Source organism: Homo sapiens, chromosome 3 (genome assembly GCF_000001405.40).
Source record: "Homo sapiens chromosome 3, GRCh38.p14 Primary Assembly".
NCBI lineage: Eukaryota > Metazoa > Chordata > Mammalia > Primates > Hominidae > Homo > Homo sapiens.
The window spans coordinates 64995067-65012119 of NC_000003.12; the positions used below are offsets into that span (position 1 = coordinate 64995067).

The following is a 17053-nucleotide window of genomic DNA, read 5'->3' on the forward strand; positions in this document are numbered from 1 at the left end:
CTGATTTCCTTGGCAAGATATCCAAGTGGTCCTTTTGAATGGATCAGCTGTGACAAGTAAGGCAGTATCCCCCAAGACTTTCCATTCCATAATTGAATTAAAAAAAAAAATTCTTACGATTATTTGTTCTCACAAAATATACGTATCAGTCTCATACTATGTACCTTGGAAATAAGGCTATGTATAGGCAACAAGACCCCATCCTTTGGTGGAGCTCAGACTAGCAGGAAGACAGACATCAACTAGTAATTAACAATAACACATAATGAAGGCATCAGGAAGAAGGAACTGGCGCTGTGTATTTAACGTAGGGGTCAGGAAGGCCACTTCCCTGAGGAAAGGAAATCAAGACACCTCCAGAAGGATACCGACTGGAGATGAGGCTGGAGAGGGTACCACCCTCTCCAGATATGTGCTGTATATCATCAGAATAACAGAGCTAGACATTTGCTTTCTATCCTTCATGCTTTTGTTCAAGTTTTCCCTTTATATTTACAAACTAAAGACCAATTTCTCCTCATAGAAGACTATTAATAAGTTTGTAGCTATGGTCCTTTCTTTTGTGTTTCTTTAGAAAACAATGATTTAAAAATAAAAGCTACCATTTATTAAATGTTCACATTGTGTCAAGCCCATTGAATTCTCACAAATGTTTTCATTTCATCAACTTTTGAAAGAAACTGGAGTTCAGAAGTTTTACTCAACTAGGCAGTGGCCTAGCTAGGAATCAAAGCCAGATCTGAGACATTGAAGTGTCCAATTTTTACCAGTTTACTGGGGTTTTCTTCAATGTTCACATCTACAAACCACTTCATCAAAACGATGAGGGGAGTGTTTGTTAAAAAGACAGAGTTCCAGCCCCGCTCCGTGCAACACCCCACCCCCCACCCCCTGCAGCTGTTTTGAGTCTGAATCTCTGAGGATGTGGACGGAGAATTTGCAGTTCAACAAGTTCCCCAGGGGCTTCCCATGCATTTGAGAATCAGCACACTGCACACAGCTATGCACTTGTAAGACCGGGGTGTGGAGAGACAGACCACTGCTAAGGCAGTTTACTGTACTCTTGTCCACGATCTTGGATTGTTCTCTTGGCCATTTGATGAAATACTACAATGCAGAATGGTTATGATTTTCAAACTGCAAATAGTTTAGCCCCACATTTTGGCAAGATATCTAGGCAGAGCTCACAGAAGAGCTGCTTATTCAGGCTTCAGCCAAGCTGTGAAAAGTGAGGCCTTTTGAGAGGAAGTGAGATAAGACAAAAACTTAAAAAAACAAACATTCTGAGGCCGGTGTTTAAAAGGCCACTGGCAAAATCTATAGCCTAACTAGAAGTGAGCTAAACAAACACATTACTGGGCCATCCAGGAAACATGAAGCAGCTGCCTGGAAGTGGGATGTGTGTTTTCAACCTGGGTAGAAATATCCCGGGGAGTGATGATATGGAATCGGACACAAAGTTCACATCAAAACAACAATGGAGATTTGCAACGGGCAGTGCATCCAGGATGGACAGGAGATGTTCCAGTCAAGTGGTTCAGAGCAAGTTCAGGGTAGGAGGGAGAGCTGTGTCCAATCTCACTTAAACTTATATGCCTTCATTTGTGCCTCCTCGTGGAATTATCTCATGGCCGCTATTTGAAAAAGAAATGGCAGTGGAGACCTACTGGCTAGGGCCAAAGCTTCATAGCTTTTGAATAACGAAAAAATTGTGGTGCTGCCTACTCTTTCCCGTTACATAATATAAGATAAAAACAATACCAATTCAGCAACATTCCAAGTTTTCCTCTGAGACTCATTCAATGCTTTTTTAGAAATGCAAACTATCAATTTCTTGAAGAAAAAAAAAAGGATTTTGTGTGCTTGGCTAGTGCCCTCCACACAAGATTAATTCAGTGAGATAGTGTTCAGTAAAGTGCTTAGCAAACTCCCTGGCACAGAGGAGGCACTCATGCATTGCTAGTTATTATTATTTTTAATAATAGCAACATATGTTGGCAATTAAATTTACTGTGGTTTCCTTCCCTTTAAAAGGACGTTAAAGGTCCCCTTCTATGGATGCATTTTTGCTAGTGTTCTACTATTTGGTATTGTTTGAACCTGGCTCTGCAGTAGTGCAAGTTGCCCTTAACTTTCCATATAGGCCTCTGTCCTCAAATTCAGATTCGAATTCTCTGGTACAGTTTCCTACAGAGCTCTTTCTTTCCCACATTTCCCTGTTGCATCATGACATTTAATTAGTTATCATTTTTGCTTGCTTTTAATTAAAGAAACACTGTGCTCCTCTTGGAATCATTCACTGAATGCCATCTGAACTCTTGACATTTATTTAGAAACTTGCATTTTGCAAGGTTTTTGTAACATGAATATTTGATGATTAGAGTAATTCAAGGCCCTCTGTAAACAGAAGCTCATACCTCTTCTTTCCAAGTAGAAACCATACTGAAGGACTTGCAATAATGTAGAACTTCCTATCATCCCTGATGATGCACCAGCCTTTCCGACTCCATTATCTAGAGCTGTGGTTCTCGATCAGAGGCAACTTTGTCTCTCAGGGGACATACACAATGTTTGATTTCCACGATTGGGAGGTAGAGGTAGGTAGAAGCCAGGGATGCTGCTAAACCTCCAAAAATGCACAGGATAGTCTCTCACAACAAAATTCGCTGAACCGAAATGTCAATGGTGATAGTGCTGAAGTTGAGAAACTCATGTCTGAATTGCCTCTTAACCCCATGATCAAATATGTCTGTTTCTTGGGATTGTAAGCATGCTAAAAGAAAAAGCTGGCTGGGTGTGTTGGCTCACGCCTGTAATCCCAGCACTTTGGGAGGCCAAAATAGGTGGATCGCTTGATCCCAGGAGTTCAAGACCAGCCTTGGAAACATGGCAAAATCACGTCTCTATTAAAAATACAAAAAATTAGGCCTGGTGGCATGCACCTGTGGTCCCAGCTACTTGGGAGGCTGAGGCAGGAGGATTTCTTGAGTCTGGGAGGCAGAGGTTGTGGTGAGCTGAGATCACGCCACTACACTCCAGCCTGGGCAATAGAGACTCTGTCTCAAAAAAAAAAAAAAAAAAAAAAAGGAGCTAAAAAATTAATTTAGATTTTAACAGGGTACACCAATAGCTTTCTAAAGCAAAGTGCTATCTACTTTGTAAAATCAAATGTAAAACATGGTCCATTTACAATACAAATGATATCTTTTATACATATAAGGTATTTTATAGCATGCAAAAACAGTCACATATCACATTAAAGAATTATACCTGGCATCATAACCATTTTATAGAAAGAAAATTATTTTTACCTATTGCATCCCTTGAAATGGCTTTTCAACTTGTAACACCTTAATTATTGAGGAGTCACCCACAAATCTGTCATGTGTCAAGTATTCTAGAAGGAAATAAAGGCAGGGTGTAGGCTACTCATGTGTCTCTCACTGGTCATGAGTGAATGAGTGAAATTTCCCAGGAGGAAATGGAATTTTAGGGACTGACTTGCAAGTAGTAAATTATATGGTATGTGTCACAATTGTGCCACATGCCTGATTTATAAACATCCATATTTTTGAAGAGCAAATAATTAATTAGAAGTGATTTTCTTTCCTGAATTACCTTGTTTTATAGAAACTCATACTGAGGGGGTGATGGTCATGAAAATTCCCAGCCTCTGATCTATTCTTTGTATGGCTTTTACTGTGCTGTGATCCATAGAGCATAACTTGAAAATTTAGTAAAGAAAAGATCAGGGAAATCAGATGCTGAGCTGTTGTTCAGGTCCCCTTGGCAAACTAAAAATATATGAATATAAATGTGTCAAGTTCATTAGACACTCAAAGGGCTCCCTTTGATTCTGGTAATGCCTTAAGGGCAGAAATCACTGAGAGAGAATCAGGCCAGAGACAAGCCTTCAGAAGAGTCTTTGCTGAATGTGAAATGAGTTCTTGTCTCATTCAGGACTGGCATTGAACACATTACTTTTTGAACCCTGGCTTTAGGAGGAGGCAGGCTTGGGATAAAATGTCAGTTTGACCTCTTGCTAGTTATCGGAAATTGTTGAAGTTACAGAATGATGCTGCTCCCCCATCTGCTAAGTAGAGATGATACTTCTTGGGGCAGCAATGAAGACTAAAGTTGTGATGTAATAGGCTTAGCATGGAATTTGAAATCCTTCTCAAAGGGGTTGTGAAGTTCTGATTTATGGTCTTTCTTGCTGGTATGATCTCTTTTTGTGATACTTCTTCAGTGAACATATATATTCACTCTTCCCTGAGACCAATGCCACTGTCCTCAATCGGACCCTTGACAAGTTTTACAAACCTCCTGTGAATGTGATCAAACCCTACCTGTACTTACAAGCCTTCAAAGACTCTCACTTTTCTAAAAAAGCATCTTCCTTTGCCTGCCCCATTCAATGTTGGGGCTCCCTCTCTCTCACACTCCCTGTTGCTGTACTTCAGCAAAGATAGTATACATCAGTGTTCATAGCAGTCCATTCACAACAGCCAAAAGGTGGAGACAACCCAAATGTCCATCAACAAGTGAATGGATATACAAAATGTGGTATATTCATCCAATGGCATATTGTTCAGCCTTAAATGAAATTGTACACATGCTACAGAATGGAAGAACCTTGGAAATATTATGCCAAGGGAAACAAGCCAGCCACAAAAAAACTAATATTGCAGGATTCCACTTAAAGGTGGTACTTAGAATAGGCAAATTCATAGAGACGGAAAGTGGTTACCAGGAGCTGGGATGGGAGGAAGGGGAAAGGGAGAGTTATTACTAACGGGTACAGAGTTTCAGTTTGGGATAATGTAAGAATTCTGGAGATAGATAGTGGTGATGGTTGTATAACTATGCAAATGTACTATGCCACTGAACTGTACACTTAAAAATGGTTAAATAGTAAATTTTATGTATATTGTTCCACAGTAACTATTTTTCATTTTCTAAAAAAAAATTGTTTAAAATTATGCTTAAACATAATTTTATTGAATATCATATACCAAATATTAAACTCATTTATATAAGTTAATGCTTACATTAATTAATTTAAAGATTTTTAAAACTCTTGGAAGTCAGTGATATTGTCATTACCAGTAAGGAAACTGAGGCCTTTAGAGGTTAAATAAGCCCAAGGTCACACAGCCAGGAAGTAGCAGAGCTGAAATTGAAACCCAGGTATCAAGTTCCAAATTCTTAATCACCATGTTTACTCCTGTACCTAGTTTCTGTGTATTGACAATTGTCATATTTTGAATCTCTAGCCCAGATCTTAGAACAATGATGAGAATATTGATGCTTGATGAACATTATTTTGAGTCTCTTAAAAAATTGGGAAGGAGTTCCTATGATCCTGATTTAAAGACGAGAACTATGAAGCACAGGGAGGTTAAATAACTTATTCAAGTTCATCCATCCATGGCAGAGCCAGGATTTAAACCCAAGGCAGTCGAATTTAAAGCTATATCCTTAATGTAACTGTCTCCAGTAGCACATAAGTACCTTATCATAAGACAAATTTTTCCCCCCACATTTTTAAGTTTCTGAACTGGGGATCCATCTAACAATGTATTCCTAGTTCAGTGTTTTCTCTGCACTTTAGTTTGATGAATGGTATCTGCAGAACTCAGGAAGTAAAGAATGCAGCAGATGAACAGGATCAGTTTGTTAGAATGTGATCTGCCTTACGATGACCAAAAACTAGCCCTTAGGTACAGATCTAAATAAAAGAATCAGGAACTCGGGTGAGTTGTGTGCAGGAAAGAATTTTCTAGCAGCCCTCACTGAGACACCCCTGAGGTCTGGAAACCTTGGCTATCCAAGAACAGACTTGGAGAATATGCCTATGTGATTTTAGAAAGTTTAAGCCATTCTGGCAATCATTAAAAAGTCAGGAAACAACAGATGCTGGACAGGATGTGGAGAAATAGGAACACTTTTACACTGTTGGTGGGACTGTAAACTAGTTCAACCATTGTGGAAGACAGTGTGGCGATTCCTCAAGGATCTAGAACTAGAAATACCATTTGACCCAGCCATCCCATTACTGGGTATATACGCAAGGGATTATAAATCATGCTGCTATAAAGACACATGCACACATATGTTTACTGCGGCACTATTCACAATAGCAAAGACTTGGAACCAACCCAAATGTCCATCAGTGATAGACTGGATTAAGAAAATGTGGCACATATACACCATGGAGTACTATGCAGCCATAAAAAAGGATGAGTTCATGTTCTTTGTAGGGACGTGGATGAAGCTGGAAACCATCACTCTGAGCAAACTATCACAAGGACAGCAAACGAAACACTGCATGTTCTCACTCATAGGTGGGAATTGAACAATGAGAACACTTGGAGACAGGGTGGGGAACATCACACAATGGGGCCTGTCATGGGGTGGGGGGAGGGGAGAGAGATAGCATTAGGAGATACACCTAATGTAAATGATGAGTTAACGGGTGCAGCACACCAACATGACGCATGTATACATATGTAACAAACCTGCACATTATGCGCATGTACCCTAGAACTTAAAGCAAAATTAAAAAAAAAAAGTTTAAGCCGTTCTATTTACATTTTGGTGACCCCTATTATAGCCTCCTTTTTCTATGGCATGTGCTTCTTTCCCTTCTCAGGGGCAATCTCTGCCTCTATTACTAAGAGCTGAGACCCTCTGTGGCCCCTGGTTCTTTTCATGGGTAGCACCACCTTGCCTCAATTCACACTGTTGCTTATTTGCCAGTTCTACAGTTGCCCTCAGCGACTGCAGAAAGTAGGACTGAACATCTTGGAGTTCAAACACAACAAAAGCTCTAAATCCATGACCCCCATAAAGATCCTAAGAGATGCTGTGGAATGCAAACTCCATCAGTGAATCAAATCTGTTGTGTTCTGAAAGAGTTATCTAACAACCATGAATCATCAGGCATCATAACTGAGAGGTGGGCCAATTTTCCTGCTGTAAAACCAACTTTTCATAAAAATAGGCATTCTTTATGTCATGGGCAGAATTAAATGACCTGAATGCAAACATGCAACAAAAGGAAGAAGGGCTAAGACATTTTACCACTGATTTTTCTTTCTTGGAGAATGTCTTGCATGTTCCCAAATTTAGATCTGGAGAATTTACTTGTAATAATAATTAGACATTACCATGACTACAGCAATGTTTAAAAATTGCTAGTAGCAAAAGAAGTCACTTCCCAAGGAAAGATTTTTGTGGAGAAAATAGATGTAATTTCTCAAGGTATACAAAATAATATATGGCTACCTTAAAATATCCTAAAACCTTTCCAATTATTACTGATAACGTAAATCAAAAATGCAGTAGAAGCAGGAGTGGTGGCTCACACTTGTAATCCCAGCACTTTGGGAGGCTGAGGTGGATGAATTGCTTGAGGTCAGGAATTTGAGACCAGCCTGGCCAACATGGTGAAACCCTATCTCTACTAAAAACACAAAATTCACCAGGCATGGTGATGCATGCCTGTAATCCCAGCTACTCAGGAGGCTGAGACAGGAGAATTGCTTAAACTCAAGAGGTAGAGGTTGCAGTGAGCCAAGATCACACGATTGCACTCCAGCCTGGGCGACAAAGCAAGACCCCATCTCAAAATAAAAGATAAAAAAAAAAAGCAGTAGAAATTTCAATGTGATGGAGTCACAACAAATTTACAGTTTGAACTGACTGATATGTGACTCTGTTTTTGCATACTATAAAATATCTTATATGTATAAAAGATATCATTTGCATTGTAAATGGACCATGTTTTACATTTGATTTTACAAACTAGAAAGCACTTTGCTTTAGAAAGCTATTGGTATACCTGTTAAAATCTAAATTAATTTTTTAGTTTTTTTTGTCAGGGGGGTGGTGGGGGACAGAGTCTCTCTCTATTGCCCAGGCTGGAGTGTAGTGGCGTGATCTTGGCTCACCACAACCTCTGCCTCCCAGACTCAAGAAATCCTCCTGCCTCAGCCTCCCAAGTAGCTAGGACCACAGGCGCACGCCACCAGGCCTAATTTTTTGTATTTTTAATAGAGACAAGCCCAGGCTGGTCTTGAACTCCTGGGATTAAGCGATCCACCTGCTTCAGCCTCCCAAAGTGCTGGGATTACAGGCATGAGCCACTGCACCCAGCCAGCTTTTTCTTTTAGCATGCTTACAATCCCAAGAAACAGACATATTTGATCATGGGGTTAAGAGGCAATTCAGACATGAGTTTCTCAACTTCAGCACTATCACCATTGACATTTCGGTTCAGAGAATTTTGTTGTGAGAGACTATCCTGTGCATTTCTGGAGGTTTAGCAGCATCCCTGGCTTCTACCTACCTCTACCTCCCAATCGTGGAAATCAAAATGTGTCTAGACATTGTGTATGTCCCCTGAGAGACAAAGTTGCCTCTGATCGAGAACCACAGCTCTAGATAATGGAGTTGGAAAGGTTGGTGCATCATCAGGGTTGATAGGAAGTTCTACATTATTGCAGGTCCTTCAGTGTGGTTTCTACTTTATAGGGTGAACACACTTTTATCCTTCTCCTTGACAAATCTGAAAAATTAAATTGAGAGTTCTGTAAAGTGGCACTGAATTACATGGCTGACTGCTGAGGCTTCTAGAGGATTAGCCATACTTGACTAAATTAGCATTTGGGATTATGTCAGCATGGGAACTCAGAAAGTAAAAGCCAGTGAGGTGGGGCTTTGATTCCTGTGTTCTAAGTGCTTTTTAATTTTGGTGTAAAAAAAAGACAAATGGCTAACATTGCCCACATTTAACTCAATATCACACACACACACGAGCACACACACACAGAGATACACTGTCTCTCTCTCTCTTTCTCTCCCTTTCTCTCTCTGTCAAGTTCCCAAGTTTCTATGCTCATTTTCTAGGTGAGACAGCAAAAATTCAGAGCAAATAAGCCCACCAAACAGCAATTTCTTTTTTTTTCTTTTGGAAACAAAAAACCCCACCAATTTCTCAACCTCTAGGGAGAACTTTATCAAAGTTATTTGCTGTGGCTACCTATTAAATGATACCAAGATCTTTGAAGATTATCTGTTTCAGAGATATGTGAAATATATGTGTCATGCCTAGCATTTTGATTACATCTTTCCCTTAAAGGCCACTAAAGATTCTGTAGTTTAGTTAAGGCTTCAAATTTAAAGTGATCAACAAAAGTACAGATTAAGTGACTCATCTAAGGTGATGCAGATGGAAAATGAAAGACTGAGAAGTGAACGCAAGGGGATTTTAAAGTTCCTTTTCCTGAGTTATTTTTTATCCCTAAGTTCTGTCTTCTGTCCTTTTTATTTCCTCATTCTGCTCCCCTTAGCTTATTTTGTCCATACAGTGTTTGGCTCAAAATAGATGCTCAAAAAATATTTATCACTCAATAAAAGAAAACCTCAAACCACAGATACCATGGGCAATAAATCAATTTCCTGTTGAAGATAGTATTTGCCTTAGAAGACATTGTAGCTATTTAAAAGCAAAAGTGCTGATTGGCATCACTTTAAATTCATGGCTACAGATCTCAAATACATGTTCAACCAGTGCCTGGCAATTCTACTGTTCAGGGCTTCCAATTCCCTACTTTCTCCAAAACAGTTCACAAATAAACATTAGAAATTTCATGGACATCTTTGGTGGACAAATACTAAAATAAAACAAAGTTTGGCCCACTACAGCTTTTAAAATGTCTGCTTGTGATGGAGCATATCCACAAACAGTGGAATATGTAAAAGCCAGTCAAAAATCTCCACCGGAGCTTTAAAATGAACAGCTCCTAAGCCCCCACATGCTGCCATTTGAAAAAATAGATGTCATGCTTTCCTTTCTTTTCAGATATTCCATGAGCATAAACAGAAAAATCAGAATCTCATTACACTTGTTACTCTCTGCCTTCTCCATTCAATCTCATGTCATGGAAACAGAAAAGAGACTCAGGCAGGTATACCTCCTAATATCCTTGCTGGAGGAGCTCACTGCCATGGCAACCTCATGCACCACATGTCACATGGGAACACTTGCAAAATCTCAGAAGTTCTGCACGTTGCTATAATTGCAGATCTAGGCACTTTGGATACTCTGTCTCTGACAATCGTCAGAGATTGAAGCCAAAGTAACGGCCTTCCAGCTTACCTGAGTATACTTTCCTGAGAAAGCTTAATGGGATTCATGCTATACAGTCAGATTCATACAGTATTTCACTTTCATGACAGCTTTGACAGAGGTCCAAATGAGTACATCCAATGACAAAGGAACAGATACATAAATACATCTCACTTTTGCTCCTCTGCCTTGCAGTACTTCAGCTGTTGCAGTCACCCATTATGTCAGTTCCCTACCTGCATCGTATTTTTTCAACCATCTTTTCCTTCGAATACAGTGCGAGCACTACGGCTGGAGTGATATTTTTAAAATGTGAATTTGACTGTGTCATCTCTGTGATTAAGACTCTCCAGGATCATTCCACTCTCTGGAACTCCTTGGCCCCTGCTTTCCTCTCCACCACTGTCCCAGTATGTTCTAGCCTCCAGTTATCCCAAGCTCTTCCCTGTCCTAGAGTCTTCATGTGAGCAGCCTCCCAGCCTGAGAAATGTCACCCCTGACTCATTCTGCATCTGTCTCCATTCAAATTGTGCCTCTGCAGACACGTCTCCCTTGAGGACTTTATCTACATAGGTCTCTCCTTTCATTCTTCATTGATGTACTCCAATTACTTTTTTCATAGCAACTGTCTCAGTTTGCAAATACTTAATTAGGAATAATTGTGCTGACTTATATATTTCATCTTCTGTCCACTCAAAGACTATAAGTCTATGTTTATTTCACCCCCCAATGTAGAACAAATGTCTAACTGTGCCTGACGTGTAGTAAGCACAATAGATGTTGGCTAAATAAGTGAATGTATATCATTAAAGAAAGAGGATAACAGCATTAAAGGGACAAATTTGCCTAAGAGACCAAATTTAAGCTTTCTGCCCAGCAATTATATATACTCAATTAGCCCTCTTTATCTTTGTCTGCTCTGCCTTCTTGCCCCTTAACAAATTTGGTATTTATAGGAACTCAGGGATTTTCAACATGGTAAGACCCAAGGAAACCCCAAATTGGTCCACTGCTTGTTTCATGCCCAGATTTTTGACCCCTGCATATTTTAAGAAAAATCTAACTTTGATTCATTTACAGTTAGTTAAACTATTTCATCTAATTGCCTCATTTTTTTTTTTGTAAATCAAAACCTTCTTTCACTGACACAGGAAGTCATATTTTGTCAAAACTAGATGAACATGAACCCAGAGAGACTTGAATTCTATTGTAACCTCAAAAACCACAAAAATGGAAGGAATTTGGGAAGTCAAATGTGTCCCTGTGCCTTGTCTATAGGGTCTAACATTTTGTTCATCTTGTGAAGATTTGTGTGTTTCCAGTTTCACCCCTGCCATAGTTCTTGGTACAGGCATGTGATATGATGGGGAGATTCCCACTTTAGAAGGCAGTTTTCACAGTAACCCCCTTTAGCCTTTGAGTTTCTAATGTAACCTTTGAAAACAGCTGGTCCAAATTCCATCTTGTCCCAGACCCACACAGACCTCCTCTGCATTATGTTCAATTCGAAGACAAAGGAAGTTCAGGGAGGAACACTGAGCAAGATGTGATTTGGCCAAATAATTATAGCTACTTTGCAAGCAGCCACCCGGAATGCAGATTTTATTAGCTTTTATTTTACTTATTTTTTAGAAAAGCCTTTTAAATGACTTATACATCTATATACATTTATACTTTTTTTTTTCAAAGCTGAGATGGAAGGCTTAACCCTCCTGCATACTGTCTGACCCATGAAAATAAACCCTTGACATTTATGAATGATACCTCCTCATGACCAATTAATCCCCATACACAAAGACTACTACAGTCCTTAATTCTCCTCAATGAAGTATAACATTTAATTAAATAATTTGCCTGACAGCTTCTAACTTTGAAGGAGAATTGTATATAAGCAATATAACGTAAGAGAAAAGAAATCTAGCTCTAAATCTGGAGTCAGACAACCTTAGGTTTAGATCTCAGCTCTTTCAGCTATAAATTATTGACCTCAGTTTTCTCATCTGAAAAGCAGAGCTAAGTAATAGAAATGTACACTTCAGAGTTACTTTGAGGCTCAAATATTTTAAAGGCAGGTAAAATACTTAGTAGAGTCCCTGGCATAGTCCCACATTTGAAAGCTATGAGAAAGATATTTCCATGCACTCCTAGTAGGAATACAAATTGGTATAACCACTTTGGGAAATGGTACAAAAATATTGATGGAATTTTAAAGCTTGTGTATTTCAAGACCTAGCAAGTCCACTTCTGTTTTTACTATTTACACCAGAGAAACATTTGCACCCAAGAAGACGTATACAAAATACTCAGAACAATGTGTTTTGTAATAGTGAGAGACTGGAAACACCCAAAGAGTTCTTTCGCTTTTAAGTAGGAGAGGCTAATTCCTGTAAGAAATGCCCTTACGTATTTCAACAGGTTAACAATTTGAAGTGGAGATTCACGGGTAGCCTTCAATGTGGTGATTCAGTGACCCAGCTTTCTGTGGCTCTGCTCTTCCTAGGAACTTGGAAACTTCTGCTAGATCCTTTCATCTAGTTAGCACATGGAGGATGAGAAAGGATGTGGAAAATTTCATGAAGTTTCAACAGATTGGGCCTGGGAGTGCCATATATCACTTCTGTCCACAGCCCATTGGCTAGAACACACTAATTTAGTCATAGTTAATCATGATGTAGTCTAAACGCAAGTTCAGGGACATAGGGAACCAGGGCTTTGATGAACAACATCTCAGTTCTGACACAAATACAAGATTAAAATAATGAGATAGGTCTATGTTTACTAGCAAATGGGCCTTCCAGGACATATTCTGTGAAAAACTAAGCAGGTGACATGTCATAGGATGGTTTCCTGGGAAGCAGACTATGAGATGGAAGTTACGGTTCTGGAGGTACGTTAGGAAAATTCTTGGCATCAGCATCTAAGGAAGCAGGATTGGGCAAAGGGAGAAGCTGAGTTATGATGTGGGCTCCACAGCAACCTCAGCCACCCCACAGGCAGCTCTGAGGCTAGGAAGATCTTTCTGAGTTAACCCAGTTTTGGCCAACATGGCAAGACATTTATAGTCTTACAATGAGCTTGCATGAGAACTAGTACATTGGTACCAAATGGAACTGGATCAGCCACTGACCATTGCCTGTCTCTGCAGGGGTGAGCCTGAGGGTGAGGGGGCTATTGTGGCAGAGGTGGTCCAAGAAGGGGCTGAGAGACGCAGACAGTCTGCTGGAAGTGCTCCCTGATGAGGCAATGAGTCCTTCACTGAAGGGAGATTTGGGCAACGCGTAACAGTGTCACCCCACACAGCTAAACTATGTAGGTAGGCTATTATTACTGTAAAAACAAAAGAATGTGCTTATTTTCTCTGACTAAATTTCTATGTAAATTCATAGAAAAAACCTGGATAAAAAGCTGGACATTTTGTATAATAATAAGTAGATATCAGAGTGATGCAGCTCCTTTTGAGTAAGGAGGCAGATCTGAGAGATTGAAGGTAAATTCAAAAGAAACTTCAACCATATCTGCAACTTTTAATATTTTTGAACAAAGTGAATTGCTATTTTGCTTACCTATATGAATTTAATAAAACTATTGAGGTGGGTTTATTGTACAAGTATGTATGATAAGAACATTAACCCAGACAATATTCTACGTGTGGCAGGACCTTCCATTGCAGAAGCATCACATAAAAATAGCTTTTATTAATTTGAAGATTGATCGACTTTCCTTCTTTCTTTTTCCTCCCACAGATTTTTGGCCAATTCACTGCTCACTAACATCTCCATCAAAGGGTAACTGGGTTGGGGCACCGGGTGTGGGAAGGAGAGGAAGGAAACGAGAATCGGCAGTTTCCATTACCTGCTAGCAACTCTGGTAAATAGGTTTAGTAGGGGGAACTGTTGAAAATCAGTTATTCAGATTATCTGAGCCTGTCAACCATGCATGTTACACCCTCCTCCCATTAGCATAGACTCAGGAGAATTGGCCCTAATTGCATTTGCAGTGATAGTGACTGAAACAAGATTGTTTAATGATTATGTGGCTCCTTAAACTGATTTTTTTCTTTCATTTGGCACATCCCAACAGAATACTTTGAGGAAAAAGGCATTTTCTACTTTATTCTCAGCTATTAAATATCTACACATCTTTCAGGATAATGGATAGTCTAGATAGACCAAAGACAACTTCTTTGAGTTTGAAAAAATATATTTTATCTTTTATTTTGGTCTGTCAATAGAAGAGTTTATTTGGGATATCCAGGTAGCAATAAAAAACATAATATAATCAATAAGAGACATTCAAATATTTGAATGTCACTCAATATTTGAGTAAATATTTGTTGAATTTAGAGGATTTAAGAGCAGAGTTATAATACTGGCATCATAAAAAAATCTTCTAGGTTTTAACTGTAAAAACACCGAGTTTTAACCAAATAATTCCAGCCAATTCAATATGAATCATTTTTTTTTCCTGGAATTAAAATGCTGTGTTGAAAAGAAGCTTGGAATAAAATTTGAAAGACTAGGATTCTAATTCAGATCACCACTTTACTTAGTGATTTTGAGACAAATTTCAGATTCTGACTCAGTTTGTTCGGCTACAGATTATTGTATGAAGAAAAACCCTACGTTTAATGTTTTACACATATTTTTATATTTATAATTTTTACCCCAACACTGATATTAATGGGCTGTATCGTAGAAGGCTTTCACTGGTAGCAAATGGAACTGGATCTTGACCCAATCATATACTGGTTATTTGATGTTAGTGAAACTAAGGGGCCTCTCCAAGATTCTACTTCCTTATTTGTAGCATGAGGTCACATATAATTAATTTATATATCACTGGATTGTCGTGAAGGTGAAAATGATAAAGTGCATAACATCATGCCTGAGACATAGCAATCCCATAATAAAAGGGAGTTATCCTCAAATTTTAGCTATCCCACTAACAAGATAACACTGTGTTTTTCTCCTTTTCTAAGGAAAAACACACATTGTAAAATAAGAATTCTTCAAAGACAACTTGAAGACATCTGGGAATTCTGAAGCCTGAAAATTCCATGAGTTCATAGCAGTGTTCACTAATTCCACTGATCTAAAGACAAAAAGGAGAGTCAACTGCGTGCCCAAACTCATTTCTGATGATTTCTTCCATCCTAACTTTTCTGCCTCTCTGGGGGTGGTTATGCCTGTGAAAAACATTGAAGCTGTCAGGAACAGAGTCGGCTTTCAAGATTGGAATGTCAAAGTAGAGTCTTCTTTTCCTCAGACCAGAAGGGGCTTGGTTGGGTAAGAGTTTCCAGATCTAAATGGAGACAGGACTGGGATATAGGAGCTTGTACGGATAAACAACACAAACACCTTGGGTAAGTGATACACCAAGAGAGATCAAAATAGGGTAGGAACACGATCCTAAAGCTATGTGAGATACGAAGCCAAGAGACCCTGTCTACAGGCTGATATGTATTGCAACCAGAGGCCACCTACACTCAAGAAAATTCTAAATGATGTAATAGGTTGTGGACACTTTCTTGTAAAAATGATCGATATTTTTTTCTTATAGGGATAAAGCTTAAAAGCATGGGATGTATCTCCATTAGGAAATATGAAGTGAGTTGGTATATTACAGGTAGGTTAGACTGAGATAATTATAAAACTGGGCTGATTTTACATAGAGAAGAACTTGATTCCTAAAGGTGTTGAAGGACAAGATGGGGACAGTTATTGAAGTGTTCAGGTGCTGTCCTTTGTAGTCTGTAGCCTATTAAAATAATACACAACTGAACACAGACCCAAGGAAAGGGGTTCTACTCATCGCTAGAATGTAAACTCTAAGAAGATAAGGATTTTGTCTGCTTCATTTATTACTGTATTCCCAGCTCCTAAAAGAGTGTCCAGCACTTAGTATCTGTTGGTAAGTACCTGTTGAATTAATTAACCAGTGATGAGACTTTGGAAAGCAGCTAGTCCATCTGTAAGATTGTTTTCTCATCTGTGAGATGAGTCAGTTAGATTAGATGTTTTCTAAGCTTATTCTAGTTTTAAAATTGTATATTTCTATAAGAAATGATAAATGAAAAATGTCCATTCCTTTTTCATCTCCATCACCCATCTCACATCTTCCTTCAGTGCCTATGTGATCTGTTTGAGTATAACCAGGTGTACAAAAGTACTAAGTGATATGAGATGACTTCAGTAGTCCAGGGACTCTTTCTTCCCCCACTCTGTAAAGAGTTATTTGCTTAATTTAATGTACATTATAAAAACAGAATTTGTTTCTCAATTTCATTTATACTCATACTATAGTTTACTTTTCACATAAATTTAAGGTACAAGGAAGTCAACTTAAAGAAAATATTTTAAGTAAATTATAATGCAAGTTCTACACAGATGTAGCGCAAACCACAATGGTAGGACACAAGCAATTGCTATTTGAGAAATAGGCCTCTTTGTCAGTACTTATGGCACGTATCTTAAAACCCGACTTTCACTAGTGCTCTCAAAGGAACTTAGTCACAATTCAAGTGACCATACCATTTAGCTGAGGGCCCTTTATTCCTGTTTATGGTAAAATAATTGCCTTAGTTGTACTTTTAAAAAATATACTTTTTCTTCTTCTGACCGTAATGGGCTAACTGCCATTAAAGAGACCATCTATCATAAACGATTAGAGAACTGGATAGAATATATGAAGCCACTGTTTTTGGACAATAGGCAGCACAAAACGATGATCCCTGAGAAAAAGGAAGGAAATGAGGTGATGCCTATAATTGCCCTGATTTTTTGCCTGGAGATACTGTCTGAACTGCTACTCTGGAAAGGAAAACTCAGGTGAAACATGGGGCCTCACTAAGTAGAGGAGACAGGGTCAATATTGGGAAAGCTGAAATGACTGGAATTTGCAGGGCAGAATATGGGGAAG

At 38.9% G+C, this 17053-nt stretch overlaps 1 long non-coding RNA gene across 1 annotated transcript in view; it reads left to right on the forward strand.

The window, feature by feature from the left end:
* Window positions 1–16402, forward strand: part of ADAMTS9-AS2 (ADAMTS9 antisense RNA 2) — a 326599-nt gene extending 310197 nt beyond the window's left edge. Inside the window, exons 5-6 of the long non-coding RNA NR_038264.1 lie at window positions 13879–13920; window positions 15114–16402. This is a non-coding gene — a long non-coding RNA (ADAMTS9 antisense RNA 2). The remainder of the gene's footprint in view (window positions 1–13878; window positions 13921–15113) is intronic.
* The last annotated feature ends 651 nt before the right edge of the window (window positions 16403–17053 follow it).